The 27,333-nt window shown below is 38.2% G+C and overlaps 2 protein-coding genes and 1 long non-coding RNA gene across 6 annotated transcripts in view, besides 1 other annotated feature; 2 read left to right on the forward strand and 1 right to left on the reverse strand.

The window, feature by feature from the left end:
- ARHGAP11A-DT (ARHGAP11A divergent transcript) overlaps positions 1-1,271 on the reverse strand; it is a 28,642-nt gene extending 27,371 nt beyond the window's left edge. The window contains exon 1 of the long non-coding RNA NR_135833.1: positions 962-1,271. This is a non-coding gene — a long non-coding RNA (ARHGAP11A divergent transcript). The remainder of the gene's footprint in view (positions 1-961) is intronic.
- Positions 1-3,602: part of a non allelic homologous recombination region, noted in NCBI's record as "15q13 distal microdeletion recombination region, recombines with the 15q13 proximal microdeletion recombination region", that runs on past the window's edge. NCBI's record gives the evidence for it as "EXISTENCE:DNA microarray evidence [ECO:0005524][PMID:25326701]" and "EXISTENCE:nucleotide sequencing assay evidence [ECO:0000219][PMID:25326701]".
- On the forward strand, positions 1,669-26,466 carry ARHGAP11A (Rho GTPase activating protein 11A). 4 transcript variants are annotated; one of them, NM_001286480.3, is made up of 13 exons: positions 2,029-2,132; positions 2,330-2,443; positions 6,633-6,703; positions 10,017-10,113; positions 10,698-10,951; positions 11,605-11,768; positions 12,012-12,158; positions 15,253-15,327; positions 16,120-16,287; positions 19,504-19,633; positions 20,458-20,566; positions 22,302-22,440; positions 22,782-26,466. In NM_001286480.3, the coding sequence occupies exons 6-13, from the start codon at positions 11,621-11,623 to the stop codon at positions 24,368-24,370; spliced, it is 2,505 nt and encodes an 834-aa protein (NP_001273409.1). In that variant the 5' UTR covers positions 2,029-2,132; positions 2,330-2,443; positions 6,633-6,703; positions 10,017-10,113; positions 10,698-10,951; positions 11,605-11,620; the 3' UTR covers positions 24,371-26,466. The 4 variants fall into 4 exon arrangements, with proteins under 4 accessions (NP_001273408.1, NP_001273409.1, NP_055598.1 ...); NM_001286479.3 differs by lacking the exons at positions 2,029-2,132; positions 2,330-2,443 and adding an exon at positions 1,669-1,778; NM_014783.6 differs by having other exon boundaries at positions 2,029-2,865.
- ARHGAP11A-SCG5 (ARHGAP11A-SCG5 readthrough) overlaps positions 2,001-27,333 on the forward strand; it is an 81,623-nt gene continuing 56,290 nt past the window's right edge. The window contains exons 1-9 of the mRNA NM_001368319.1: positions 2,001-2,865; positions 6,633-6,703; positions 10,017-10,113; positions 10,698-10,951; positions 11,605-11,768; positions 12,012-12,158; positions 15,253-15,327; positions 16,120-16,287; positions 19,504-19,633. Coding sequence (NP_001355248.1) covers positions 2,737-2,865; positions 6,633-6,703; positions 10,017-10,113; positions 10,698-10,951; positions 11,605-11,768; positions 12,012-12,158; positions 15,253-15,327; positions 16,120-16,287; positions 19,504-19,633 — 1,235 coding nt within the window. The 5' untranslated portion in view covers positions 2,001-2,736. The remainder of the gene's footprint in view (positions 2,866-6,632; positions 6,704-10,016; positions 10,114-10,697; positions 10,952-11,604; positions 11,769-12,011; positions 12,159-15,252; positions 15,328-16,119; positions 16,288-19,503; positions 19,634-27,333) is intronic.

Genomic DNA, 27,333 nt, shown 5'->3' on the forward strand with positions numbered 1-27,333 from the left:
CATTGCCTCCTTGTGTGTAGGAAAAAAGAACCAATATTTTCATCTTAAGAGAAAGGAAGGGCCGGATGTGGTGGCTCACACCTGTAATCCCAGCACTTTGGGAGGCCGAGGCGGGTGGATCACGAGGTCAGGAGTTCAGGACCAGCCTGGCCAAAATGGTGAAACACCGTCTCTACTAAACATACAAAAATTAGCCGGGCCTGCTGGCAGACGCCTGTAATCCCAGCTGCTTGGGAGGCTGAGGCAGAGAATTGCTTGAACGTGGGAGGTGGAGTTTGCAGTGAGCCGAAATTGTGCAACTGCACTCCAGCCTGGGCGACAGAGCGAGACTCCATCACAAAAAAAAAAAAAAAAAAAGAGAAAGGAGACGAAAAACAAGAAGAGCTCAGCTTTAAAAAAGGATCACGACGTAGAAAAAGACACAACACTGAAGATTGTCATGGGTCTTTAAGAAAAGGAAATTTGAGACGGCTAAAACGCCGAACAGTGTGGAGTTTGGGGAAGAGATGTGGCTAAAGACAGCGTAAGCAATTTTTTAAAGTTATGTCTGAAGCAAGAAGAAAAGACAAGGAATAGGTTCAGTTTCATCTCTGATACACCGTTTCTTGTTAAAATTGATGTTTTTTTCTGCAGGCATTTGCTTCCTGAATGATGGTCCCACTCAGCCATCCACCTATACTTTCTACAAAGTCAATTTATACTGATTCTTCAGATCAGTTAATCACTGGTACGTTTCCCCTCCCCGGTCAAGGATCTTTTATTATACGCTATCATAGAATCATATTCCTTTCCTTAGCGCACTTCTCTCAACTGATAAGTGCCGCCATTAATGTACTTACTTGATAAATATATGCCTGCCTTTCCTCTTCCAGGGCCGAAACTGTGCCTGGTTTTGCTCATCATTCTATAGTCTATAGCACGAGTTCAATAAACAGTTGTTAAAGCAACATATTTAACTTACATTTTGTTCCCATCTCTTCACTCAGAGACTTTTCTTTGGATTGGGAAGGGTAAAATATCCGAAGATTTGAACTCCAAAAGAAACAAAATGATTCTATGCAAACGTTTCCTACTTAAAACTCATTCATTGGACAAATATTCACTTAGTCCCTGGCACTATTTGGTAATAGGAATACAGGAGTGCATATGGCAGATAAAGTTCTGTTGCTGCCCTTACCAAGTTTCGTGGGGGTGAGATGTGGTGTTAGTAAATGCATACTATTTTGTCTGTATTTAAATCGAGTCCAAATCTCTCGCTCTACAGCCCGCCTTGGGATGTTTCTTATATCCCAAGAAACAGAATATTTTGATGGGATCGCTGATGTTTCAGACTGCAAAAGCAGCTCAGGGCGTTTGCAGTCGTGCAAGTCAACAAGATAACCGTCTGGACCGGAAGCTGGGCTCCTCCCGGTCTCCTAACGCCAAATCCAACACCAAGCTTCTGCAGCTGCCACCTCCCGTAGACTTCGCATTTCTTCCGCACTCTCCTCTCACGACGGGTCTTCTTTGTTGTACTTAATTTCCTACGCAATAAGATTTCAGCATGACCATCAGTCCCCCAAAGACTAATTCCCACAGAGCCGAAGTTCCCACCAAGGGCCGAGGGTTAAGGTTACTAAAATCAGCGTTTCTGAATCCTGTCTCAAGTTGTCTCATCTGGGCTTCCGTAAGAACGGTTTCTTCATAAGAGGGCCTTCAGCGACAGCCAAGCTCGGAAAAGAACGGGAATAAGTTGTCTTTTATATTTCCTCAAATACTGTGAATGGTCTGAGGCGCAGGTCAGGTGTATTTAAAAACCTTTAAACAGTATTCCCCCGCCCCAAAAACTGGCCTTGAAGGAACAAGTGAAACTCATCCTGCTTTTCATGTTTGCTGGGTTTGCCCGTTACACCCCTTCGCCCGCACTTATCTAGACAGGCAGCTCTCGGCCACCCTCCGGGGTCCTGATTTTGAAAAGAGGAGTGGACCAATCAGATGTGGAGCGCTGTTTCGCGCTGCCATTTGAGCCTGGGCTGAAACTGCGGGTGTGACCCCCCCGTGGTGGCTCTGGGTGTCTGCGGAGGAGCTGGGGGCGGAAGCATGAGGCTAACGGCTTGGCTTCAGTGAACGCACCGGGATGTGCAGGCCGGGAGGTAGAGGCAGGCTGATGGGGGAGGGAACGAGCAGCCTGTGAGACGGGGTGACGGCGGCTACCAGCCCGGGCGGGCACCGGGACTGGAAGAGTTGCCTGAGCAGCCGGCTGGTCCGGCGGCCAGGCTAGGGCGGGGGCGAGCGCCCAGTTGAGCCTGCTGGGGCTGGAGGAGCGAGAAGGGTTTTCTTCACATTTCAGAGCGAACCAGACGGGGACAGTAAGGTTTGGAGGAAGGGGGATCGTTGGAAGTAGCAAGAAGTGGAGAGAATCTGGCAATAGACGAGAAACCGAAAGAATCAGAAAGAAGTCTATGTGAGTAGCTGAAAGCATTGGGTGACCAGAAAGAAGGTCGGTGTAAGTGAAGGAAGAGTGAGGTGTGGCTGGATCAAAGGGCTAAGAGAAGCGGGTCTGTGTAAGTGGATGTGAGTGAGGATCAAGGAAAAGCCGTGGAAGTGGCCGGGGGTCGGGGCCGCAGAAGTGCCAGACGGGGCCGGAAAGCAGCCGAGCGGAGTTCAAATTTGAGAGCGTTTGGAAATTGGAAGACTTGGTGGCGAACGAGGGTCAGGACCTGCATCCTGCCTCAGAGAGTTATCGACGTATCCGGAATGTGGGATCAGAGGCTGGTGAGGTTGGCCCTGTTGCAGCATCTGCGGGCCTTCTATGGTATTAAGGTGAAGGGTGTCCGTGGGCAGTGCGATCGCAGGAGACATGAAACAGCAGCCACGGAAATAGGGGTAAGTTCTGTGAAAAGGGATTTAGGTTTAAAAGAAAGGGCACACCCTTTATCATCACTTACTACCAGATCGTGCTAAAATGTTCACTCTGTGTATCAAAAAGAATGGTTAGGTGTGTAATTCAGTTCAGATGGTCGATTGCTGATATTTAAAAAGTGACATTCTTGTTTTTTTTCCCCCAAGGATTTTTGATCATTGAGAGAAAGTTGCAGGATTTTCCAACTTCAGCACTATTGACATTTTGGATTAGATAATTTTTGTTAGGGGAAGACGAAATGCTGTTCTGTGAATTGTGGGATGTTTAGCGGGATGTCTGTCTTTTACCCACTAGATGCTGGTAGCATCTCTCAGTTGTGACAATTAAAAATGTCTCCGGATATTGCCAGCTTACTGTATTTGGAACAGGTAGTACGTTGGGAGGGACAAAAACTCTACCCCTCCACCCTTGTTTTAGAGTAAGGTTGTAGAGGGACAAGGGAGACCAGTGCATTTTCTACATGAATCTGTAGATGAAGAAGTATGACAGAACATTAGAAATAGGCTTCAAATGATGACTGCATATTCACTAATTTGGGAAACAGATTTGCTGCTTGGCCATGTCATACTTTTGGGACAGTAAATTTTTTTTTGTATGAGTAAATTGAGAAGCCAGAGTGGAATAATTGAGAAGTTGTTGATGTTTTGGTGGTTGAAATAAAGGGATTTTGAATGAGATTTTAATAGCTCTGCCACATAATCAGGAATTCCATTGTGAAAAATAAGCTGAATGTAAAGCATTTTATTTTAAATTTATGTGCCTAATTTATATGGTACTTCCTAGTACTTGGAGACAAGCTAATAAAATTAATATACGTTGCTTTTAATAGTTTATGGTTTCTTAAAAAAAGTGCTTGGAGAAGAAAACCACTAACAAAAGTAATATGTGTGCCTCTTAATCGCTGATAAACTTTGGAGAAGTTATTTTTGTTGGTAGCAAATTAATGGCAATACATGTACTTACATTTAAAAAGCTACAGTGATTTTTTTCTGATTGTAAAACTGGCTTTCCAAGATCTCAAATGTAGCTGATTTTGTAAGTATATGGAAGAGTTTGTATATGGACTTTTTTTCACCCCTTTTCTTTTCTTTTCCTTTTTTTTTTTTTTTTTTGAGATGGAGTCTCCCTCTGTCGCCCAGGCTGGAGTGCAGTGGCGCGATCTTGGCTCACTGCAAGCTCTGCCTCCCGGGTTCACGCCATTCTCCTGCCTCAGCTTCCCGAGTAGCTGGGACTACAGGCGCCCGCCACCACACCTGGCTAATTTTTTGTATTTTTTAGTAGAGACGGGATTTCACCGTGTTAGCCAGGATGGTCTCGATCTCCTGCCCTCGTGATCCGCCCGCCTCGGCCTCCCAAAGTGGTGGGATGGCAGGCGTGAGCCACTGCACTCGGCCTTTTCACCGCTTAACAAGAAAAACTGTTGCCTGTTTTCAGAGTCAGATAGACCTGAGTTTGAGTGCTGTTCCACCCCTACTACATCTGTAAACTTGGGCTGCTTGTTTGATTTCCCTAAGCTTCAGTTTTATATATATAAAGTGGGAACGTATTTCTCCTTGGATTATTTAGGGATTTTTAAAAAGTGAAGCTCTTTATGTAGGCCTAGCACAGTGCGGGTAACATGCCACTTCTTCATCTAATGATAGTTGTCATATCATTGGTCTGCCTCCTAATTGGTAATCATGCCATATAAATTCAGCTAGAAACACTTATAAGAATATTCTAATGAAGAAATATAGAAGATCATTGTGTTAGGAGATCTAATGGGATAGTTTGTTTGAAAACAATTTCTTTAGCCGACTGGTGTTTGTTAGCTAACTGTAGTTTTAAGTTTTAAAAACATTTTATGAGATTAAATTATAGTGGTTACTTGTGAGGCCAGTTATTCTAAATAATAAGACTTAAGGAAAAAAACACGCTGAATTCTAGTTATATATAGCAGAAGTAGACTTACCAGCTTAAGTATCTGGTTTATTTTTACATTTGGTTTGGCTGCACAGTATCAAGAAAATTCTGATTTACCCAATAAAGGGGTTGCCCATACTAACATTTTTTAAAATAGTTCAGCTTAAAATGATGATCATAATATTAACAAATATTTTTTGAATGCTTACTGTGTGTCAGACACTGATACAAGTGTTTTGTATGTTTTAATTTATTTAATTCTTCCTACACCTCTATGACTTAGGATCTGTGTGAGGATACCGAGGAACAGAATGTTAATTTGATCCAGGTCACTCAGCTGTTAAGCAAGAGTTAAGATGTAAAGCCTGGCATTTTTGTGTGTGCGATGGCTCACGCCTGTAATCCCAGCATTTTGGGAGGCCGAGGCGGGTGGATAACGAGGTCAGGAGATCGAGACCATCCTAGCTAACACGGTGAAACCCCCCCCCCCCCGCCCCACGTCTCTACTAAAAATACAAAAAAATTAGCCAGGTGTGGTGGCGGGCGCCTGTAGTCCCAGCTACTCGGGAAGCTGAGGCAGGAGAATGGGTGAACCCGGGAGGCGGAGCTTGCAGTGAGCCGAGATTGCGCCACTGCACTCCAGCCTGGGCCACAAAGTGAGACTCCCTCTCAAAAAAAATACACCTGTCATTTTTGCCTTCAGGAGCCTACTCTCTTAAGCACTTACTATACTATACTGTCTTTTCAGCTTACAATATTTGTAAATTAATTGGAGCCAGGTGCTTGAAAGGGAATTAGTAAAATTTTGTTACTGTGTTGCGTCATTGACAATGCTGAGTGGTTTTTATTGTAAATATAAAGTTAAATATAATGCTCATAAAACATAAATACTTCTTGGTTGATAACTTGTGACATCAAAAAAAGTACTTCAGCATTCACAGAGCAGATGCATGTAAACTAAATTAACATGTGAGATTATGCATACCCACTTAAGTTTGAATAACCAGACATTTACAGGCTTGAATTTACCTTTCAGTGCTGTGGAAAGCGACACATTTTTAAGAGGTTCGAATGCATGCACAAAGATAGTGGCAGATTCTTTATTCTTCAGTGTGCAAAAACATTCAAGTTAACCAACACACAGCTTTACTCTTGGGATCTTCAGTGTATTAAAATTTGAATGTGAGGTTTTAAAAATGGGTTTCCAGCTAGTTAAATGAAGTTTGACTTAAATATTTGCACACTCCTGCCTTGCTTACTGCAGGGCATGGTTTGAAAAGCACTCTTCTATAGAAGGTGGAAAATGTATTAGGTATAAAAATAACTTCTTCTGATGTAATTTTAGGAAGACTCAATGAATGACAGGAATTAGTGTTTTGCTTTTCAATTGACTTAGTCTTTTGTGTAAGTATTTATAAGGTGACCAAAAGAAAGTATCTAGTAAGTATTTATAAGGTCATTAAAGCAACCTATAGTATTTTGGGGTAAATGTTAGTGTTTTGGACCAAATTCTGTTTTAAGAATTTACTGACTAACCACTAACCAAATTGACTTTATGATCAGATTGGAAACTTGAGTTTACTAGATTATTTGAGGGGAATGACATTATCTTGGCCATCTTTGTACTCCCAGCACTCAGCATACTGTCTAATATAGTAATTATTTGTTATCAAATGCACTTGAAATGATTATTTTTGTCTTGATAGATAGTTTATCATTTATTTCTGATTTTTTTTTAATTTCCTGAGTTCTTTAATTTGCCTAAAGTTTAAGAAAACTGATATTATGCCTAATATTTGTGTTAGAGTAACTGAATTTGTCATTTTAGGGTAAAATATTTGGAGTACCTTTTAATGCACTGCCCCATTCTGCTGTACCAGAATATGGACACATTCCAAGGTAAGCAGAGTTTGAAATGAAGAAGGCCGGGTGCAGTGGCATATGCCTGTAACCCCAGCATTTTGAGAGGCCGAGGTGGGCAAATCACTTGAGTCCAGGAGCTTAAGACCAGCCTGGGCAACATGGTGAGACCTTGTCGCAAAAGATAGAAAAATTAGCTTGGCGGAGCACACTTGTAGTCCCAGCTACTCAGGGGCCTGGGGTGGGAGGATTGCTTGAGCCCAGGAGGTGGAGGCTGCAGTGAGCCTTCTAGCCAGGGAAATGAAGAAGAAGAGAGTAAGCATTTCAAACTGGTTTTAGAGAGTTTAAAAGAAATAGTTGATTAAAACATAATTGTTTCAAACCAGCAAATGATTTAATCTCTCATAATGTTAAAAATATTTTTTTAACTTTTACATATTTTAAATTTATAATTTGTACTCATTCCCAGGATTGAATTTTAAAGTCCAGTAATGAGTAAATGTTAGAAATCACAAAAAATTTTTGTTCTGTTAAGTCAGTTTTCAGTTCTATGTGAATTCTTTTGCCACAACTCAGATTAAGTAATATACTGACTTACCAATTCAGTAATAATTTTGACTTTTTTTTGTTTGTTAAAAAAATATTGGCCAGGCACAGTAGCTCATGCCTATAATCCCAGCATTTTGAGGGCCGAGGCAGGAGGATCGCTTGAGCCCAGGATTTTGAGACCAGTCTGGGCAACAAAGCAAGACTCCATGTATAAAAAAAATTTTAAAGAAAAATCAGCTGGGCAAGGTGGTGTGCACCTGTAGTCCCAGCTACCTCTGAAGCTGAGGCAGAGGATTGTTTGACCCTAGGAGTTTGAGGCTGCAGTGAGCTATGCTCATTGCCACTGCACTCCAGCATTGGCAACAGAGTGAGACCATGTCTCTTGAAAACAAATATTGGATAAAAGAATATTTAAGCTAAGATATTAGAGTGTTTGTGAAAATGTATCACTTAGCTTTTCTATGCCACTTACTATTTATAAATAACCTTTTATTCTTTTTTTTTTTTTTTTTTTTTTTGAGACAAGAGTTTCACTCTTGTCGCCCAGGCTGGAGTGCAATGGCGTGAGCTCGGCTCACCGCAACCTTCACCTCCTGGGTTCAAGTGATTCTCCTGCCTCAGCCTCCGGAGTAGCTGGGATTACAGGTGTCCACCACCACACTTAGCTAATTTTTGTATTTTAGTAGAGATGGGGTTTCACCATGTTGGCCAGGCTGGTCTCAAACTCCTGACCTCAGGTGATCTACCTGCTTCAGCCTCCCAAAGTGCTAGGATTACAGGCGTGAGCCACTGTGCTGGCCTATTCTAACTGCATCAGAACTTACTAGGAAAGTTTATGTTTTAAGAATATAATTTAGCCGGGCGCCGGGGCTCACGCCTGTAATCCCAGCACTTTGGGAGGCCGAGGCGGGCAGATTACGAGGTCAGGAGATCCAGACCTTCCTGGCTAACACAGTGAAACCCCGTCTCTACTAAAAATACAAAACATTAGCTGAGTGTGGTAGCACGCACCTGTAGTTCCAGCTACTCGGGAGGCTGAGGCAGGGGAATGGCATGCCAGGAGGCGGAGCTTGCAGTGAGCCAAAATTGTACCACTGCACTCCAGCCTGGGCGACAGAGTGAGACTCCGTCTCAAAAAAAAAAAAAAAAAAGAAAAAAAAAGAATGTAATCTAAAAATGCATATGGTGAAACTTATCCTTAATTCATTTCCCCTCCATCTAAAGTAGGGTTCATTTGGGCTACTATAGACCAATAATCTAGGTTTTAATTGACATGTCATCCAAAAGCAATTATCGAACACCTGGTTGCCTTAGGACAGTTTCCCCCCATTCATCCTATAGGTGTAGATTCACTGTCTTCTTAGGTAACCGCTTAACCATTTTGCTCTTTAAATGACCTATGAAAGGCTTGATTTTCTTATAATGAACACCTATAATGATTTTCAACAGGCCGGGCACAGGAGCTCATGCCTGTTATGCCAGCACTTAGGGAGGCCCAGGTGGTGGATTGCTTGAGCCCAGGAGTTCAAGACAAGCCTGGGCAACATGGTGAAATCTTGTCTCTACAAAAAATAGAAAAATTAGCTGGGCGTAGTGATGTGTGCCTATAGTCCCAGCTAGTCGGGAGGCTGAGGTGGGAGGATCACTTGCGCCCAGGAGGCAAAGGTTGCAGTGAGCAGTGATCGCACCACTCCAGCCTGGGTGACAGAGCGAGACCCTGTCTCAAAATAAAAACTAAAAGAAAAAAAAAAGCAGATTTTCGGCGTCTGGAATTGCAAAGTCATATTCCCAGGAATCATGACTATATCTTCATTGTAATTTCATGACCTACTTTTTATTTAATTAAAAAGACTGTTTTGTCAGTTACCTTCTGTAAATAAGGCTGACATTCAGCCACTGTGCACCAATACAGCTGTATCAATTGTTGGTAGCCGATATTCATTCTAATTTGTGGGTCCCAGCTGTTCAATATCTAGGTATCTAAAGCCAACATTGAGATTTATTTGAACATTGTTCAAAATAAAGAAATTGAGCACATTCCCCTTAATATGAAAAGGCTTGTAAGGACTGGGATATATCCTACTTTTCTGAGGGATAATGTTGGGGTGAGGAAAAAAAAACCTCGCCCTGTTTTTGGGTGATGTAGGAGATGAGAAAATCACCCATGAAGAGATAGTAGATAAAAGAAGGTGGCCTTGGACAGAGCCCTGGGTTGTTCCAGCATGTAGAGGTTTCACATAAGAGGAGTGAGAAAAGGAATTTGAGAAGGAGCAGGCAGGGAGATAGCAGGAAAACTAAAAGAGTAGTGAAAAAGTATTTTTGAGATGAACAGGGAAGGGATCAGGTGTGTCAAATGGTGATAGATCGAGCAATACGAGGACAACACACTGACCATGGATTTGGCAAGGCAGAGGCTGTTAGTGAGCTTGAAGAGAGCTATTTCTTTGGAGTAATGAGGTATGAGAATGATTGGATAGGGGTGAGTAGAGACTGAGATATGAAGAAGTAGAGGCAGAAAAAAAAGACAAGTCTTACGCTCTGAAGGGAAGCAGAAATGAAGTAGGATTGAGAAAGATAAAATTTAGTGTGCACATTGGAGTTGTTAGAAGTAAAAAGATGGGCCTTGGAGAAGAATTTGGGAAGCCAGTAGACAACTAAAAGTAACATTTCATCTCAAAGACTACAGAGATTTGTGGCTTTAGAGCCTCTGAAAGGTACGTAGTGCTTGGCCTGCTCATGTATGTTAGCAGAGGAATAGGATGTGATATGTATGTCTAGCCACCTGAAAAAATCTCTCTTTCAGCTTTCTTGTCGATGCTTGCACATCTTTAGAAGACCATATTCATACCGAAGGGCTTTTTCGGAAATCAGGATCTGTGATTCGCCTAAAAGCACTAAAGGTGAGCATATTGTTGAACTATTAATTTTTCATTTGAGCCATTTTCTGATTTGGTTTTTAAAACTGAAATATTTAGAACTATTAATATGAATAGTTGACAGAAATTGAATTTGCATTTTTTTCATGGCAGAAGATTTTTTTTTTCCAAAAGAAATGGTATATTATTTCTATCATGCTTTAAAAATTTAATAGGGTACTTTTAAATTCATGGTCCTTATTTCTATCAAGTATTATGTAAAATGAAAAAAATGTGTTAAGTTATATTGTTGTTAGCCTTCTAGAAGGAGTGATAGAGCTGAGTGTGGTGGCACATGCTTGTAGTCCCAGCTACTTGGGAGGCTAAGGCAGGAAGATTGCTTGAGCCTGGGAGTTTGAAGCCAGCCCAGGCCACATAGTCTGTGCCACATTTCTATAAAAATAAAAATAAATTCAAAAATCATTAAAAATAAAGTAGTGACATATATTAAAATAAGAGTTAAGAGAAATTTATTAAAGAAAAGTGTAATTAGAGTATAACAAAAGATACTTTATTTGCAATAAACTCTTAAGTTGCCAAAATACTCAAGATTATTATATTTATTTCAGAATAAAGTGGATCATGGTGAAGGTTGCCTATCTTCTGCACCTCCTTGTGATATTGCGGGACTTCTTAAGCAGTTTTTTAGGGAACTGCCAGAGCCCATTCTCCCAGCTGATTTGCATGAAGCACTTTTGAAAGCTCAACAGTTAGGCACAGAGGAAAAGAATAAAGCTACACTGTTGCTCTCCTGTCTTCTGGCTGACCACACAGTTCATGTATTAAGATACTTCTTTAACTTTCTCAGGAATGTTTCTCTTAGGTAAGTGGTAATTAAAACTCTTGGCAAATAATAGTTGAATTTTTCAACTAACGTTTTATGCTTGTAGATATGTACAATTTCATTTGGAATGGAAATTTTTCTTTAAAAATTCCATATTTCATTACTATGAGGAGTATACTCCAATTTAAGAAACAGCATACCAAATGATTTAATATTTCCTTATCTTAAAGTCATCATCATGAATGCCTTAATGGTTCATTGGTGTTTATAAGATTCATTGTCCACTGAAAGCCTTTGTTTACTGGGTTTTTAAAATATTTCTGTTTTGCTTTTCAAAATTTCCCTCTCCCTGCTGTCAGTGAGCCTGCTTATTCTAGACATACTTGCTGCCTTCTGATACTTCCAACTTTTTATGTGTAGGTCTGAAAATCAGATAAAGATGTTCAATTTGTGTGGAAAAGCAAAGTATGAACTCTAAGATTAGCATGGTTTTTAGAATACATATTTAAATATAGAGAGGCTATATATTTCTGGTTCTTTCTTGTGTTCAAGCCAATCATGTAGATGAAGGGTAACTATTTTGACTTGTGTATGACTGATAATAAGGTCTTCAAAATGTACTACATACGTTATTTTAACTCTTCTGTATTTTCACGTTTGGCTCCATCTAATAAAGCGTTTATTCACTTAAGATCCAGTGAGAATAAGATGGACAGCAGCAATCTTGCAGTAATATTTGCACCGAATCTTCTTCAGACAAGTGAAGGACATGAAAAGATGTCTTCTAACACAGAAAAGAAGCTACGATTACAGGCTGCAGTAGTACAGACTCTTATCGATTATGCATCAGATATTGGTAAGATGTAGTTGCATTATTAACAGAATTTGTTTAAATGAGGAAAATCTCTGTTTCTTTCAAAGGAACTATGAAGGCAACTGTTAGAAAGTTGGTATATTACTGACCTCACCCCCACCCTACAGTACCGGCCCCTCCTGCAAAGAAAAAAAGAAAAGAAATTGGTATATTAGTATCTAAACATTTTTGGGGAAGAGTGGAGGAAGGATAATAATTGTCTTACTTGTGAACATTTTCATTTAGGGCGTGTACCAGATTTTATCCTGGAAAAGATACCAGCCATGTTGGGTATTGATGGTCTCTGTGCTACTCCATCACTGGAAGGCTTTGAAGAAGGTGAATATGAAACTCCTGGTGAATATAAGAGAAAGAGAAGACAAAGTGTAGGAGGTAAGTGGCGGTCCCATTTTATGGAGGTACAGTGATTTGCTTTAATCGAAAGTACATTTCACATAAAGAAGCATGAACTGTGGTATGTGCCTTTTTGGTGCTTAAAGCACAGCTGGAAAGATAGGACGTATGCGTGTAAAAAGTTAAAGCGATAGTACAATCTAATGTTAAGTGCTACATCTTTAGCACAAACATAAAATGTGTTAAAAGGAGAAAAGTTCCCTGGATTGTAATTATCAGGGACTTGTCAAAGAGGAGCCAAACTGAACCTTCTTGAATAATGGATAGAATTTAGTGGGATTGGGTGGAGGATCAGAATACTTGTATCCTATTCTAGATGAGAAGGATGCTATGAAGAAAGGTTTGTGTAGGGAAGAAGTAACCTATGTCTAATGTAGATAGTGCAGTATGACTTGAGTGAAGTGTTCAGCATAAGGATAAAGGATGGTATTATGGTAAACTTAATGCCAGGCTAAAGAATTAGAATATTAACCTGGGTGTTGGTGAATCATTGAAGATTTATGATGTGAGGCATGATATGATTTAAAAATTTTAGAAAATTACCTGATTTGAAGAATTGAGACTTGGAAGTAGGGAGAATGGTCAGCAATGTGTGTCAGTAGTCCAGGCATCAGATTATTGTTTGAACTTGTTAGTGACATGGATTAGTTAGGAGTACGAACTAAATAATGAAGGAAATATTATCAAGGAAGAATCAGAAAGACCAAAAGACCATCATAAGATGGTAGAGTTGGTAATAAAACTTGCAATCTCCTTGATCAAGAAGTCAGAGGCCATTATTCTTCCAATTACTTTAGGAAATTTATTATCTTTTGAATATCAGAACCAAATGTTACTAACTATCCCAATCCCTTTTTCATCTTTTGGTTTATTTGTTATTGCATACTTGTGTTTCTTCTTTACCTCCTTTGTAGATAGGATAATACTGATGACTTATGTATGATTTTCCTAGGGCTACTGTAGCAAAGTACTACAAACTAGGTGGCTTAAATCAACAGAAATTTGTCTCACCGTTCTGGAGGCTAGAAGTCTGAAATCAAGGTGTTGGCAGAATGCCTGAAACCTGCAGGGGAGAATCCTTTCTTGCCTCTTCCTGGCTCCTGGTAGTGGCTGTCAGTCCTTAGCATTCCTTGGCTTGCAGCCGCGTCACTCCAATCCCTGCCTATGTCATCCTATGATGTTGCTCTGTGTCAGAACTTCCCTCTTACAGGGCACATTGGATTAGGGCCCACCCAAATGACCTCATTTTAACTCGAGTACATCTGTAAAGACACGAATTCCAAGTATGGTCACCTTCATAGGAACTGGGGGTTAGGACTTAAACATAGGTTTTTTGGAGAACACAATGCAACCCATAAAACTTCCTATCCCCAATGGAGATATTTCTCAGATGCAGATCATCTTTATTGCCCTCTTTCCCAGTCCTGTAGTTTCAGTTATCACCAGTCCTGTAGTTTCAGTTATCACATCTAAATAGATAACCACCACATCTGTACCACCGTTATCTTGAAAATGTCAGTTCCACTTTACTAATGGCTTGCTAGGGAGACCTCATCACATCTGCTTTTCATTGGTGCTTTAAGCTTAACGTTTTGAAATGACCATCTTTATCCTCTTTATCCTGGTTCTGTGTGAATTCCATTTTCTTCTAACAGCACCACTATTCCCTAGATACTCAGGCTTTAACCATGGGTTCTACCTCTTCCTCTACCATCTATAATCAGACAGTTTTCATGTCGTATAAGATTCTATCTCCGTAGTGTTTATTGCATTGTTACTGTAAGAATCTTCTTGGCCGGGCGCGATGGCTCACGCCTGTAATTCCAGCACTTTGGGAGGCCAAGGTGGGCGGATCATGAGGTCAGGAGATCGAGACCATCCTAGCTAACACAGTGAAACCCCGTCTCTACTAAGAATATAAAAAATTAGCTGGGCGTGGTGGCGGGCGCCTGTAGTCCCAGCTACTTGGGAGGCTGAGGCAGGAGAATGGTGTGAACCTGGGAGGCGGAGGTTGTAGTTGGCTGAGATCGGGCCACTGCACTCCAGCCTGGGCAACATAGCGAGACTCCGTCTCAAAAATAAAAATTAAAAAAAGAATCTTCTTGGTCTTTATGCCTCCTCCTTGAATCTACCCTACATATTGCTATTAAGGCTCACTTTTTTTTTTTTTTTTGAGACGGAGTCTGTCTTTGTCACCCAGGCTGGGGTGCAGTGATGCTACCTTGGTTCACTGCAATCTCCACCTCCTGGGTTCAAGCGATTCTCTTGCCTCAGTCTCCCAAGTAGCTGGGATTACAGGTGCACGCTACCACGCCTGGCTAATTTTTGTATATTTAGTAGAAAGGGGGTTTCACTGTGTTGGCCAGGCTGGTCTCTAACTCCTGACATCAAGTAATCTGCTTGCCTTGGCCTCCCAAAATGCTAGGATTACAGGTGTGAGCCACTGCACCTGGCCAAGGCTTACATTTTAAATGTATAACTCTACTCAAGTATCTCACACACATACCCTTCAGAAATTTTAATTGGTAATAGGGATATTTATAGCTTGGCATTAAAGGTCTTTCATAGGATTGCTCTAGCATACCTGTCTACTATTTCCTGTCTTTGAGCAACTTTAGTCAAACTATGTTATTTATTTTCCAGACACTTTTATTCATTTGCTTACACTATTTATTGATATAATGTTTTTACTTCCATCTCTACTGATCTTTTAAATACTTTTATTCGTGCCTCCATTTCCATGGTTCTTGCCTCAGTTCAGACCTTCATCTTTTGCCTTAACATGTAATGATTTCTTTTTCCCTACCCTTACTGTACATTATATGTATTTGTATTACATTTCTTTCTGTATTGTGTCTTTTTTATTTTAGGGATATGGAAGTATAAGTGGGGAATGGAATAAAAATATATCCTTTAGTATTTTTCCTATTTTGAAATAATTCCTCTTAAATAACTTAAAATTTATAAGCCGATGTAAAGTTACATGTTGAAAGAAGACTGCAAATATTAATATGAATTATTGGTGAAAGACAAGTAAATGTGAAGTTGTAATTGCTTATGCCTTGCATTTCAGATTTTGTTAGTGGAGCACTAAATAAATTTAAACCTAACAGAACACCTTCTATTACACCTCAAGAAGAAAGAATTGGTAGGTATTTATTATATGCATTTATTTAAATTAAAATTTGTATAGTATTCTATAAAATACAATTACAATAATAATTACCTAACTTAGTAATCAAATTTAGTTTAATCAAATCAAATATTATTTTTAATAGTCATACTGTACTATACACACTATGTTGTGACATTGCTAATTACATAGGCTATAATGAACCCAAAATTGTAGGCAAAAATTTTTTTAGTCTCCTGTCTTTAATCTTCTTAATCATGCTTTTCTGTTTGTAATTTAGATGCTATTAAGCGTGTGAAAATAGTTCAACCTCATTTTTATCTTAGGACTAGAAGTTCATTATTGTATATTTCAATTTTTTATTCTAATTTGCTTGTGGCTGAAATTATTCAGCCAGTAAGAGTCAACATGATCTTCTGTTTTCTAGAGTGAAGAAATGAACTGGTTAATACTCACTTATGATGAAAAGCAAAAATAATATTTAGATTAGTTTTTGTTTCAACTCCTTGATTGTAATTTCTTCCTTACATTAATATTCTTTAATGTATATCATATGCATCTTTTAGTCTGTTAGATTTAAGTAACTGCTGTCTCTTAAGAGTCTTGCCTCTGCGACTTCCTTATTTTCATTTAAGTAATTGCAGAGTGTTTTAGTTAAACAACATCTACTTAACTGATGATGTAAATATATTCTCATTTTTTGTTTAGCTCTAAGTAATAGCTTTATAAGAAGAAATTATGTAAAGCTTTTATATGTTGTCAACTCTGCAGTAGAAACAAGTTGGTTTTGTTTTGATATTTTTTCAGCCCAGCTATCTGAATCACCAGTGATTCTTACACCAAATGCTAAGCGTACATTGCCAGTAGATTCTTCTCATGGTTTCTCAAGTAAGAAAAGGAAGTCCATCAAGCACAATTTTAACTTTGAGCTGTTGCCAAGTAATCTCTTCAATAGCAGTTCTACACCGGTATCAGGTAGCAAATAGAATTTATATAAATGGATTGTAAAGATTAAAATGAGTGCCTATTCTGGGCACAGTGCAATTTCATATTAATAATACCACCCTTAGGAACTAGAACTTTATTCTGTTTTATCCAACCTATGAATTTTTATAAAACCCCCTGCCTTTTAAAATAGACACTGTTTCAATATAGTGTGTGTGTGTGTGTGTGTGTGTGTGTGTGTGTTATGACAACATCTATTGAAAGTTGTGATAACCCAGAGTAGTAGTTTGGGCTTCTGGTGATAGCATTGATGCTTAGGTTTTATGTGATTAGACATCCTGAATCCTGCTATAGTTACATCTGGGTCTATAGCTGTGGCTTTATTGCTGTCATTTGTTGAATTGAGGTTGCCAGATGTTTGATCATGTCTGATTCCCAAGTGGGAGCGTTACTATTGCAGGTTATGGTTTGAAAATGAGGGTATTTTTAAAGTTTTAGACTCAAGTACCTTTTGTAAAAGCTTTAGAACTTTGTTGACGCTGTTCCTTGTGCCATGGCTTCCAGATCCCTTACCAGCCCAGCCATTTTCTTCCATATTAACTACAAGTTCTAATGTGGCCAACCAGAGCCTTCAGAGAGTAATAGAGTATGATCATGCTAATCCGGAGATTAGTCTGGGTCTTAGATTCAATTGGCTCTTTTAGCATATACAGAATTCAAGTTGGCTCATATTAACCTTACGATCAACCAAAAATGAAATGAAACTCTAAGCCCAGGGTCCTCCATCTCATTTATCTTACATTTAGTCAAAATGTGAGTGATCTCTGATTATTTTAGATTTTTTATTTTGTTGGTTTCAGACAATGTTAAGTTTCATTTTTGATTCATTATCTGAGTTATATGAGTTCCTTCCCAAAGCCTGTCTCTTTTTTCTGTTGTCCAAAAGGGTTCTTATTTGTTTTATTGAGAAGTTGAACAGAATAGCAACTTGAGGTTTTCCAGAAAAAAACACTTCTTCACAGGTTCTCTAGGGCTCATTGAAATGTGATGATAGTAACTCTGAAGCTTATGTCTGTAGCTTTTGCAGTGTTCACAGGTTGGAGACTTAAACTTTTTTAAGTAACATAGTTCAGTTGTTTTTTTTTTTGAATATATCCTTTGCAGTTTGGAGGACTTTTTCCAAATGGCAAATGGGAGTTGTAGTTCTACCTGCCTTTGCTTATTAGCATTACATTTTCCCCAAGGAATGAACATACTGATTCCTTCTTCTCCTCCTCCAAGCTCCCAAAACAGAGGTTAAACAGTCTTGTGCTATTTTTAGTTTGAGCTTGCCTAATCAATGAATTTTTTTATAAAAAAATTTAAAAGTTCAACAATAGTAATCGTATTATTTTTACACCACTTTTCTTTGACCCTACTTTCTCAGCCACAATTCAACAAATTCCATTTGCAAAATTGAAAATAGATTGATTTCTAAGTTTAGATTATAACAAATATGATGCTTTTAAAAATATATAAAGGCAACATTAGTCTGTAGTCCATAGAGTATCTATTCATAATTGTCTCTTTTTTTTTTTTTTGAGACAGAGTTTTGCTCTTGTTGCCCAGGCTAGAGTGCAATGGCACAATCTCGGCTCACTGCAGCCACCACCTCTCAGGTTCAAGCGATTTTCCTGCCTCAGCCTCCCAGGTAGCTGGGATTATAGGTGGCCACCACCACACCTGGCTAATTTTCTTTTGCATTTTTAGTAGAGACGGGGTTTCACCACGTTGGCCAGGCTGGTCTTGAACTCCCGACATTAGCTGATCAACCTGCCTTGGTCTTCCAAAGTGCTGGGATTACAGGTGTGAGCCACCATGCCTGGCCATAATTTTCTTACAGATGTGATAAATTTGCATTGTTCCATATATTCTGACTGTGCCTCCTGCGACCATTGACACATTTTTTATTTTTATTTTTTGAGACGGAGTCTCGCTCTGTCTCCCAGGCTGGAGTACAGTGGCATGATCTTGGCTCACTACAACATCCACCTCCGATGTTCAAGTGATTCTTGTGCCTCAGCCTCCTGAGTAGTTGGGATTACAGGCATGCACCACCACACCCAGCTAATTTTTGTATTTTTAGTAGAGATGGGATTTCACCATGTTGGCCAGGCTGGTTTGAACTCCTGGCCTCAAGCAATCCGCCCACCTCAGCCTCCCAAAATACTGGGATTACAGACGTGAGTCACGGTGCCTGGCCGGACACATTTTTAAAGTGACTAGACTGCAGCCCTAGAATAAAGCTACTTATGTCACTTTAGATGTATAATATTGGCTTCCAAAATTTTCTTTAGCTAAATGCACCCAAAAGTTTCTAAGGTGGTTGTATTTTTTCCGTTTTCATAATTGAAAAAATGTGAATGTCTCTGGGAAACTTTGTGAATTCTTTATTAATAACTCAGATGAATTGAGAGGGTTCATGTTTGTTGAATGTGTCCTGGGCGTGATTCAAACATAAATGTATATGGAGCCTTTGTTCATAACTATTTTACTTCTTTCGTAATTGTTTACTATAGTTGATTTCATAATATAAATGGTGTTAAATAATTGAGCTTCTGTTGTACCAGTAATTATTTGCATGGAACACAGCAGCAGCCAAGGGATTAGGAATGTGTTATAGAATAATTAGTTTTTGTTTACTTGCCAAAAATATTGAACAAATTACATTCCGGAGTCAGGTGGGTAGCAGTTGGCCAGCAGGTATATCTCAAATACTCAGATTCCAACTTGTTTGCCAATAGCTTATTTTTTATAATACCATTAATTGGTATTATGTACTAGATACTGACTAAATATTTTATATAGATAACAGTAATATTCATCATAGAAGTCCGTTTTCAGAGCCTAAAGCCATTTAGTAAGTGATGGAGCAAACTCAAGCCTGTCTCCAAATCTTGTTCTTTTTCCAGTCTGCAATGGTGCCTATCCCTGCCTTGTATTATTAACAGAGTTTAAAGAAAAGCTCTAATATAAAAGTAATGCTTAAGCTGACCTTTAATTGGCAAGTCAAAAGTAAAAAATGAATGCTTTTTCTTAGCTGAGTTGGGTTATTTGACACTTGAAGTTTCTAACCAGAAATTAAGTGATTTCGGTTGTTGCTTGGGATAGAAATTAAGGCTTTGAATCTAATTGCTGCTATTACTATTTTATACTTTAAAAGGAAAATAGATATGTGTGGTATATTACATGTGGTTATTTTTGTAGTTCACATCGATACAAGCTCAGAAGGGTCATCTCAGAGTTCACTCTCTCCTGTACTCATTGGTGGAAACCATTTGATCACTGCAGGTGTGCCAAGGCGAAGTAAAAGAATTGCAGGCAAAAAAGTTTGCAGGTACTTTATCCAGGACATTTTGTTTTCATCGGATAAATATTTGGTGTACACATAATTAATAAAATGTTTTGTCTTTCTGTCAAGCATCATATTTGAGTCATAATTTTTTAAAATCCCTTCTGCCTTTATAGTCTTATTAATCAATTGCCTTTTCAATACCCACCAGAGAAAAATTACTAATTTGAGTCCGCTTTGCTTGCTTAAAATCCTATTTTATGTTGATGGTGTAATTTTAAAATTTCCTGTTAGAGGCTGGGCACGGTGGCTTATGCCTGTAATCCTAGCACTTAGGGAGGCTGAGGTGGGTGGAGCACTTGAGCTCAGGAGTTCAAGACCAGCCTGGGCAACATGGCAAAACCTCATCTCTACTAAAAAGTACAAAAATTAGCCAGGCATGGTGCCACATGCCTGTAGTCCCAGCTACCTGGGAGGCTGAGGTGAGAGGATCATCTGAGCCCAGGGATGTCAAGGCTACAGTGAGCAGTGATTATGCCATTATACTCCAGCCTGGGCCGCAGAGTGAGACCCTGTCTCAAAAAATAAAAAACAAAGAAAAAAATTCCTGTTAGGTTAAAAAGCTAGCCTATTCTAACAATTCTGAGTTATAACTGACTGACTAACTTTTAAGATTAGCAGATCATTTTTTATGCAAATGCAGTGTGTTCATGTATGGTATCTTAAAGTTGAACTGTTTTTAAAGAATTATTAATCCATCCAATTATTATCAATATGATTTGCTGTGGACTTTATTTCAAATTTCGTATTTCAAGTATTTCTCTGGTGTTTATACTATAAACTGACATTTTTAATTCCACTTCTTCTAGAGTGGAATCAGGAAAAGCAGGCTGCTTTTCTCCTAAAATCAGCCATAAAGAAAAGGTTCGAAGATCTCTGCGTTTGAAATTCAATCTAGGGAAAAATGGCAGAGAAGTAGTAAGTTTCTTACCATTTTATTGATCTTTATATTAGCATAACGCTATAAACTTGATACTAAAAAACACTCATAGCCCTACCTTCCTTCCAGTGACTGTCTCATTCTGTTCTTTTTATCCAAAACTCTTATACTTGAGTTGATATCAAATTTCCTTGCATTGGAGTACCCAAAGCTTAGTCCTTGGACTTCTCTTTTTTCTCTCCACTCACTCAAGGTGATCATCAGTTTTAAACATTATATACAGGTTGAGTAGCACTTATCCAGAATGCTTGAGACCAGAAGTATTTCAGATTCCCCATTTTTGGGGGGGATTTTGGAATATTTACATTATTTTTACTAGTTCAGCATCCCTAATCTGAAAGTCTGGAATGCTCCAGTGAGCATTTTCTTTGAACATCATGTCAAATACTTAAAAGCTTTGGATTTTTGGAGCATCCAGAACTTTGGCTTTTCAGATTTGGAATGCCCAACCTGTATTTACTTAAAACTTCCAAGTTTATGTTCTCTAGTCCCAAATGCTCTTCTGAATGACTCCGCTGTCTCTTAACATCTGCTTTTTTGACTCTCCTACTTGGATATCTAATCCAATAGGCATTTCAAATGTAACCTGTCCCAAGCAGATGGATTTCTTTGCTGCTGCTATGCCCTGCACCAAACAACACTTTTACCTGTGGTTTTCCCTATCTCAGTTATGGCAAATCGTTCTTCCAGTCACTTAAGCCAAAAACCATGGTCAAATCCTTGATTCCTCACTTTCTCTGAGACACCATGTCTAATCCATTAGAGAATCTTGTCTAACTTCTGCTTTTAGAGTATCTCCAAACTGACCAGTTCTCACTATTACTACTTTTCCCACTTTCTCTAAGTTCTGTCATCTCTCAGCTGGATTACTCTAGTAAACTCCTGTTAATAGTTCTTCCTTCTCCTACCCTTGCTGCAGTTCTGTAGTTGAAATTTATCTTTTAAAATCTGTTAGGTTATGTAGTTTTCTGCTCAGAACTCTCCAGTGACTCCTCGTTTCACTCTGAATAAAAGCCAGAGTTCTCATGTTGACCTGCAAAGGCCTCACGTGATCTGTTCTCAGGCTGCATTTCTGAGCTCTCCTCCAGTCCCCCTTGCTCACTCTGCTCCAGTCTCAGAGACTGCACTGGCATTCTGCTCTTTCTGTAGTGTTCTTCCCCCTTAAATCTTCATGGCTCTCACCTTTGTTTTGTTTTACTCACAAATTATCTCCTCATCACCCTATTTTAAACTAAACCTCCATTCTTCACCACTCCATATCCTTTTTACTCTGTTTTACTTTTCTCCGTAGCACTTTTCACCTTGTATATTGTATTTATGCAATATAATTTACTGTTTATCTTAAGTCTAAATTTCCCCATCTAAATAGAATGTAAATTACATAAGGATAAGATTTTGGTCTAGGTACCCCACTGCCCCAACTATTTGTGAACAGGCCCTAGCACAGAGTCAGAGCACACACAGAAATTATTTTAATTAATATGTGAGACTGTTTTAAAAATAGATCATAAAATATCAACTAATAGCAAAATCAAATGATTACAGTTTTCATTAGCAGGCAAGAATGTTTGTCATTGTTAAGAATTGTTTCTCAATTATATATCCCTTTTTAAATCAGCTAAAGATTTTGATAACTACAAAAAATTATTCTGTCTTTATATTTTGAATTAACTAGGCTTATTTCTTAACTAAAACTTTTTTTTTTCTGTACAGAATGGATGTTCTGGTGTCAATAGATATGAAAGTGTTGGTTGGCGACTTGCAAATCAACAAAGTTTAAAAAATCGAATTGAATCTGTAAAAACAGGTTTGCTTTTTAGCCCAGATGTTGATGAAAAGTTACCAAAGAAAGGTACATTTACATACTACTGTTAGAGTTTTACCTAAAAATCCTGCTTTAGTTGCTTTTTTAATGGCAAAACATATTAATTAATTTACTGTTCTAGAGATTAAAAGTTCATGTTTGAATAGTGAAAATATTAGAATTGGCAATGTATTTTTCTATCAACAATTGGGAAATGCTTATACATGTAAATATGAAAATGTTTGACATTCTTATGTTAAAAATTATTTCTTGTAACACAAATACTTTATTAGAATTAAATGCTTAGTGACTTATTTGCCATGTGCTTGGGTATTATTTCAAAACAAGGTTAAATACAAAGGATTAAGCACTGAACTGCTTTATTTTAGGTTCAGAAAAGATCAGTAAGTCTGAGGAAACCTTACTAACTCCAGAGCGACTAGTTGGAACAAATTACCGGATGTCTTGGACAGGACCTAATAATTCAAGTTTTCAAGAAGTAGATGCAAATGAAGCTTCTTCAATGGTGGAAAATCTTGAGGTAGAAAACTCTTTGGAGCCTGATATTATGGTAGAAAAGTCACCTGCTACTTCATGTGAACTCACCCCTTCCAATTTAAACAATAAGCATAATAGCAACATAACAAGTAGCCCTCTTAGCGGGGATGAAAATAACATGACCAAAGAGACTTTGGTGAAAGTTCAAAAAGCGTTTTCTGAATCTGGAAGTAATCTTCACGCATTGATGAATCAGAGGCAGTCATCAGTAACTAATGTGGGGAAAGTAAAATTAACTGAACCATCTTATTTAGAAGATAGCCCAGAGGAAAATCTATTTGAAACTAATGATTTGACTATAGTAGAATCAAAGGAGAAATATGAACACCACACTGGTAAAGGTGAAAAATGTTTTTCAGAGAGGGACTTTTCACCCCTTCAAACTCAAACATTTAATAGAGAAACAACTATAAAATGTTATTCAACTCAGATGAAGATGGAACATGAAAAAGACATTCATTCAAATATGCCAAAAGATTATTTAAGCAAGCAAGAATTCTCCAGTGATGAAGAAATAAAGAAACAGCAGTCCCCAAAGGATAAACTAAATAATAAATTAAAAGAGAATGAGAATATGATGGAAGGTAACTTACCGAAGTGTGCAGCACATAGCAAGGACGAGGCTAGATCCTCTTTCTCACAGCAGAGTACATGTGTTGTAACAAACTTGTCAAAACCTAGGCCTATGAGAATTGCTAAACAGCAGTCATTGGAAACATGTGAGAAAACAGTTTCTGAAAGTTCACAAATGACAGAACATAGAAAGGTTTCTGATCACATACAGTGGTTTAACAAGCTTTCTTTAAATGAACCAAATAGAATAAAAGTCAAGTCACCTCTTAAGTTTCAGCGTACTCCTGTTCGTCAGTCCGTCAGAAGAATTAATTCTTTGTTGGAGTATAGCAGACAACCTACAGGGCATAAGTTGGCGAGTCTTGGTGATACAGCTTCTCCTTTGGTCAAATCAGTGAGCTGTGACGGTGCTCTTTCCTCTTGTATAGAAAGTGCATCAAAAGATTCCTCTGTTTCATGTATCAAATCAGGTCCTAAAGAACAGAAGTCCATGTCATGTGAAGAGTCAAATATTGGTGCAATTTCAAAGTCAAGCATGGAGTTACCCTCGAAATCTTTCTTAAAGATGAGGAAGCACCCAGATTCAGTGAATGCTTCTCTTAGGTCTACTACAGTTTATAAACAGAAGATCTTATCTGATGGCCAAGTTAAGGTTCCCTTGGATGATCTGACTAATCATGATATAGTAAAACCAGTTGTAAATAACAACATGGGCATTTCTTCTGGGATAAATAACAGGGTCCTTAGGAGACCATCAGAAAGAGGAAGGGCCTGGTACAAAGGTTCTCCAAAACATCCTATCGGAAAAACTCAATTACTACCAACAAGTAAACCTGTAGATTTGTAATTGGTAAATGTTATACTTGTCATTAATGTAAATAAAGTGAGTAATTGGTATGACTTGCAGGATGATGTACATGTTAGTTTGTAGCTCAGGATGATTGTTAAGCAATAGATTTGCTCTATTGAAAATGTTTCATTTTTTTCACTGTACAAGCAACTTAGATTTTTATTTGTACAAATTACTTCTTTGTTTTTCTTAATGATGGCAATTTTTAAACTTTAATTTTATTGTGATCTCTTAAAGCAGAGGTTAGACTTTACCTTTCTGACTCTGTCGTCCAGGCTGGAGTGCAGTGGCGCAATCTCACTGCAAGCTCCACTTCCTGGGTTCATGCCATTTTCCTGCCTCAGCCTCCCGAGTAGCTGGGACTACAGGTGCCCGCCACCACGCCCAGCTAATTTTTTGTATTTTTAGTAGAGACGGTTTCACCGTGTTAGCCAGGATGGTCTCGATCTCCTGACGTTGTGATCCGCCCGCCTCAGCCTCCCAAAGTGCTGGGATTACAGGCATGAGCCACCACGCCCGGCTAGACTTTACCTTTCTAAAGAAATTGTTTACTGGATTTATAAGAAGTTAATTTTTGAAAATGACATATTTTTGTGTGATAGAAAGAATGGAGCAAGTTGTGCCTATTTCCTCCAAGTCAGATAAGGTTTCTAAAATAAATAAATTTCTAGCATATAAAGGGTAGAGATAAACTCTGCAAATCTTATGTCTGGAATTATATTAATGTTTATTGTCCTTGCCAAAATTCCTAGAAATTAATTTCCTTCAATAGCATCCTAAAACTCTATTTTTATTTGGGGCAGAGTAATTTCATTTATAGTGCCAGTAGGTGTACCTTGTGTTCACTCGAACTAAGAACAATGGTTAAGGCAGAATAATGACTAAAATATGTTCATATATTATGATGTGGAAATAATTGATAACTTTTAAGCCATACTATGTTTTTAAAGATAATTTGCACAAACACGTTTGTGTCTGTTCTGTCCAATATAGATTTGGCAATTATTTAAAGAGGGATAATCTTGAAAAAAATTAACCAAGGTGATTTCTTATATGTAGATGCTCGATTTTGGAATTTGAAATAGTAGATGCACCTCTTTACCTTTTTTACTTGGATAAAAACCTATGATGATTTTGTCCTGTGTGTAAATGTTATTTATTTAGCATAGACATTAAAGATAACTCTCTGGAAAATGACTTGACTAAGGCTCTCATGAAATTCAAAGTGCCATTTAGAACATGCACCAAATTGTCAAGTAAATCTGTCTAAATTTATATTTTAAATTATTACAAATTACACATCTTTGAGGAAAGAGTATTATGAACAATAGAACATATTCTCTAGGTTGTAGAGGAAGGAATAAGCAGACAGAATCAACCACTAAAGGTAGTTTTTCAGATTGGTTGTTAGAATGTCATGTTTAGATGTTGGAGCAGATTAGAGCAGCATTCATGCCACTCGGAGCAACCAGACTTACAGCATAAGTATGTACGAGGAATTTCAAATCATCAGATGTTTGCTTGGCTAGGTTCTACTTTGTTTATTTGATATCAAATAGGTTTGTAGATGTTTATGGCATTTCTAATTGTAAGTAGAGACAAAATATTCATATAGTCAGATATATGTTGTCTGCTTTAAACAATTTTTAAATTTTAAAAATGCATTAACGTCTTTTTATATCCATCAAGGGAAGGATGAAATGTTGAATTTGAAGACTAATTCAGTAAGAAGTCCTAGGGGTTTAACTGTACATACTACCTGAACTGGCTTTTCTGAGAGATGAATCAATAATGAAACATGTCTGTTTTAAAAACTACCACATGTGACTCCTATTTTTGTTAGCTGAAAGCTGCTATACGGAGTATTACAGGAATGTGAAGGTGACTAGCTTGAAGGTAGGGTAACTAGAGAGCCAGAAAAGTTTTGTTTTAAACTTGATTTAATGCGTTTTTATTTTTTCTTATACAAAATAGAGATAATGTTGCTAACTTCATGGAATATTTGAGGAAATGATATGAAAGTGTCTGGACGTGCAGTAACCTCATGGGTTCTTCTCACTGTCTTATAAATGTAAATAAAGATCTAATATTAATTTGGTTATCTAATAACAACTTAATACATAGAACTTAGTAGACTGCATGGCCACATTCTATAATATGATCACTAAGAACTTAATGTAGGATTTTAATAGTCATGTTTTTCTTAATTGTGGCAGAATTTAAACCTTAATTTTGTGATCTTTTTTAGTTAGTTTGTTTTTTGTTTTCTTTTCTTTTTTTTTTTTTTTTTTTTTTGAGGCGGAGTCTCACTCTGTCGTCCAGGCTGGAGTGCAGTGGCACAATCTCAGCTCACCGCAACCTCCATCTCCCGAGTTCAAGCGATTCTTCTGCCTCAGCCTCCCAAGTAGTTGGGACTACAGGCATGCACCACCACGCCCAGCTAATTTTTGTAGTTTTAGTAGATACGGGATTTCACCATATTGGCCAGGCTGATCTCGAACTCCTGACCTTGTGATCCTCCCACCTTGGCCTCCCAAAGTGTTGGGATTATGGGCGTGAGCCACTGCACCTAACCTCTGTGATCTCTTAAATATATATGAAGTTTTATTTTTGAAACACCAAATTTCAAATGAAGCATAGGCATTTTGATCTATTTCAGTTAAATTTAACACAAAAGCAGTAAATTGTAGTGACTTCATTTTTTTCAACCACAAAATGAAGATAACAATGAACAAAGCTAAAGTAAAACTCAGAATTGAAAAAAGTCTCTGTGCATCAATAATAAATACTAACTCCAGCATGGCCAGTGAGCCTAGAGCCATTTAATGGATAGTGTTTGTCCTGTTGATTTAGCATGCATTGAAACAAGAAGCAAGAAGCAGATGAGCATCCGTGAAAGAAAAAGTACTGGGAAAGAGGCTTGGCTTCAAAATGAAAGGCCATGTGTCTCATAAATGAAT

The sequence above is a fragment of the Homo sapiens genome, chromosome 15 (assembly GCF_000001405.40).
Source record: "Homo sapiens chromosome 15, GRCh38.p14 Primary Assembly".
Classification (NCBI taxonomy): domain Eukaryota; kingdom Metazoa; phylum Chordata; class Mammalia; order Primates; family Hominidae; genus Homo; species Homo sapiens.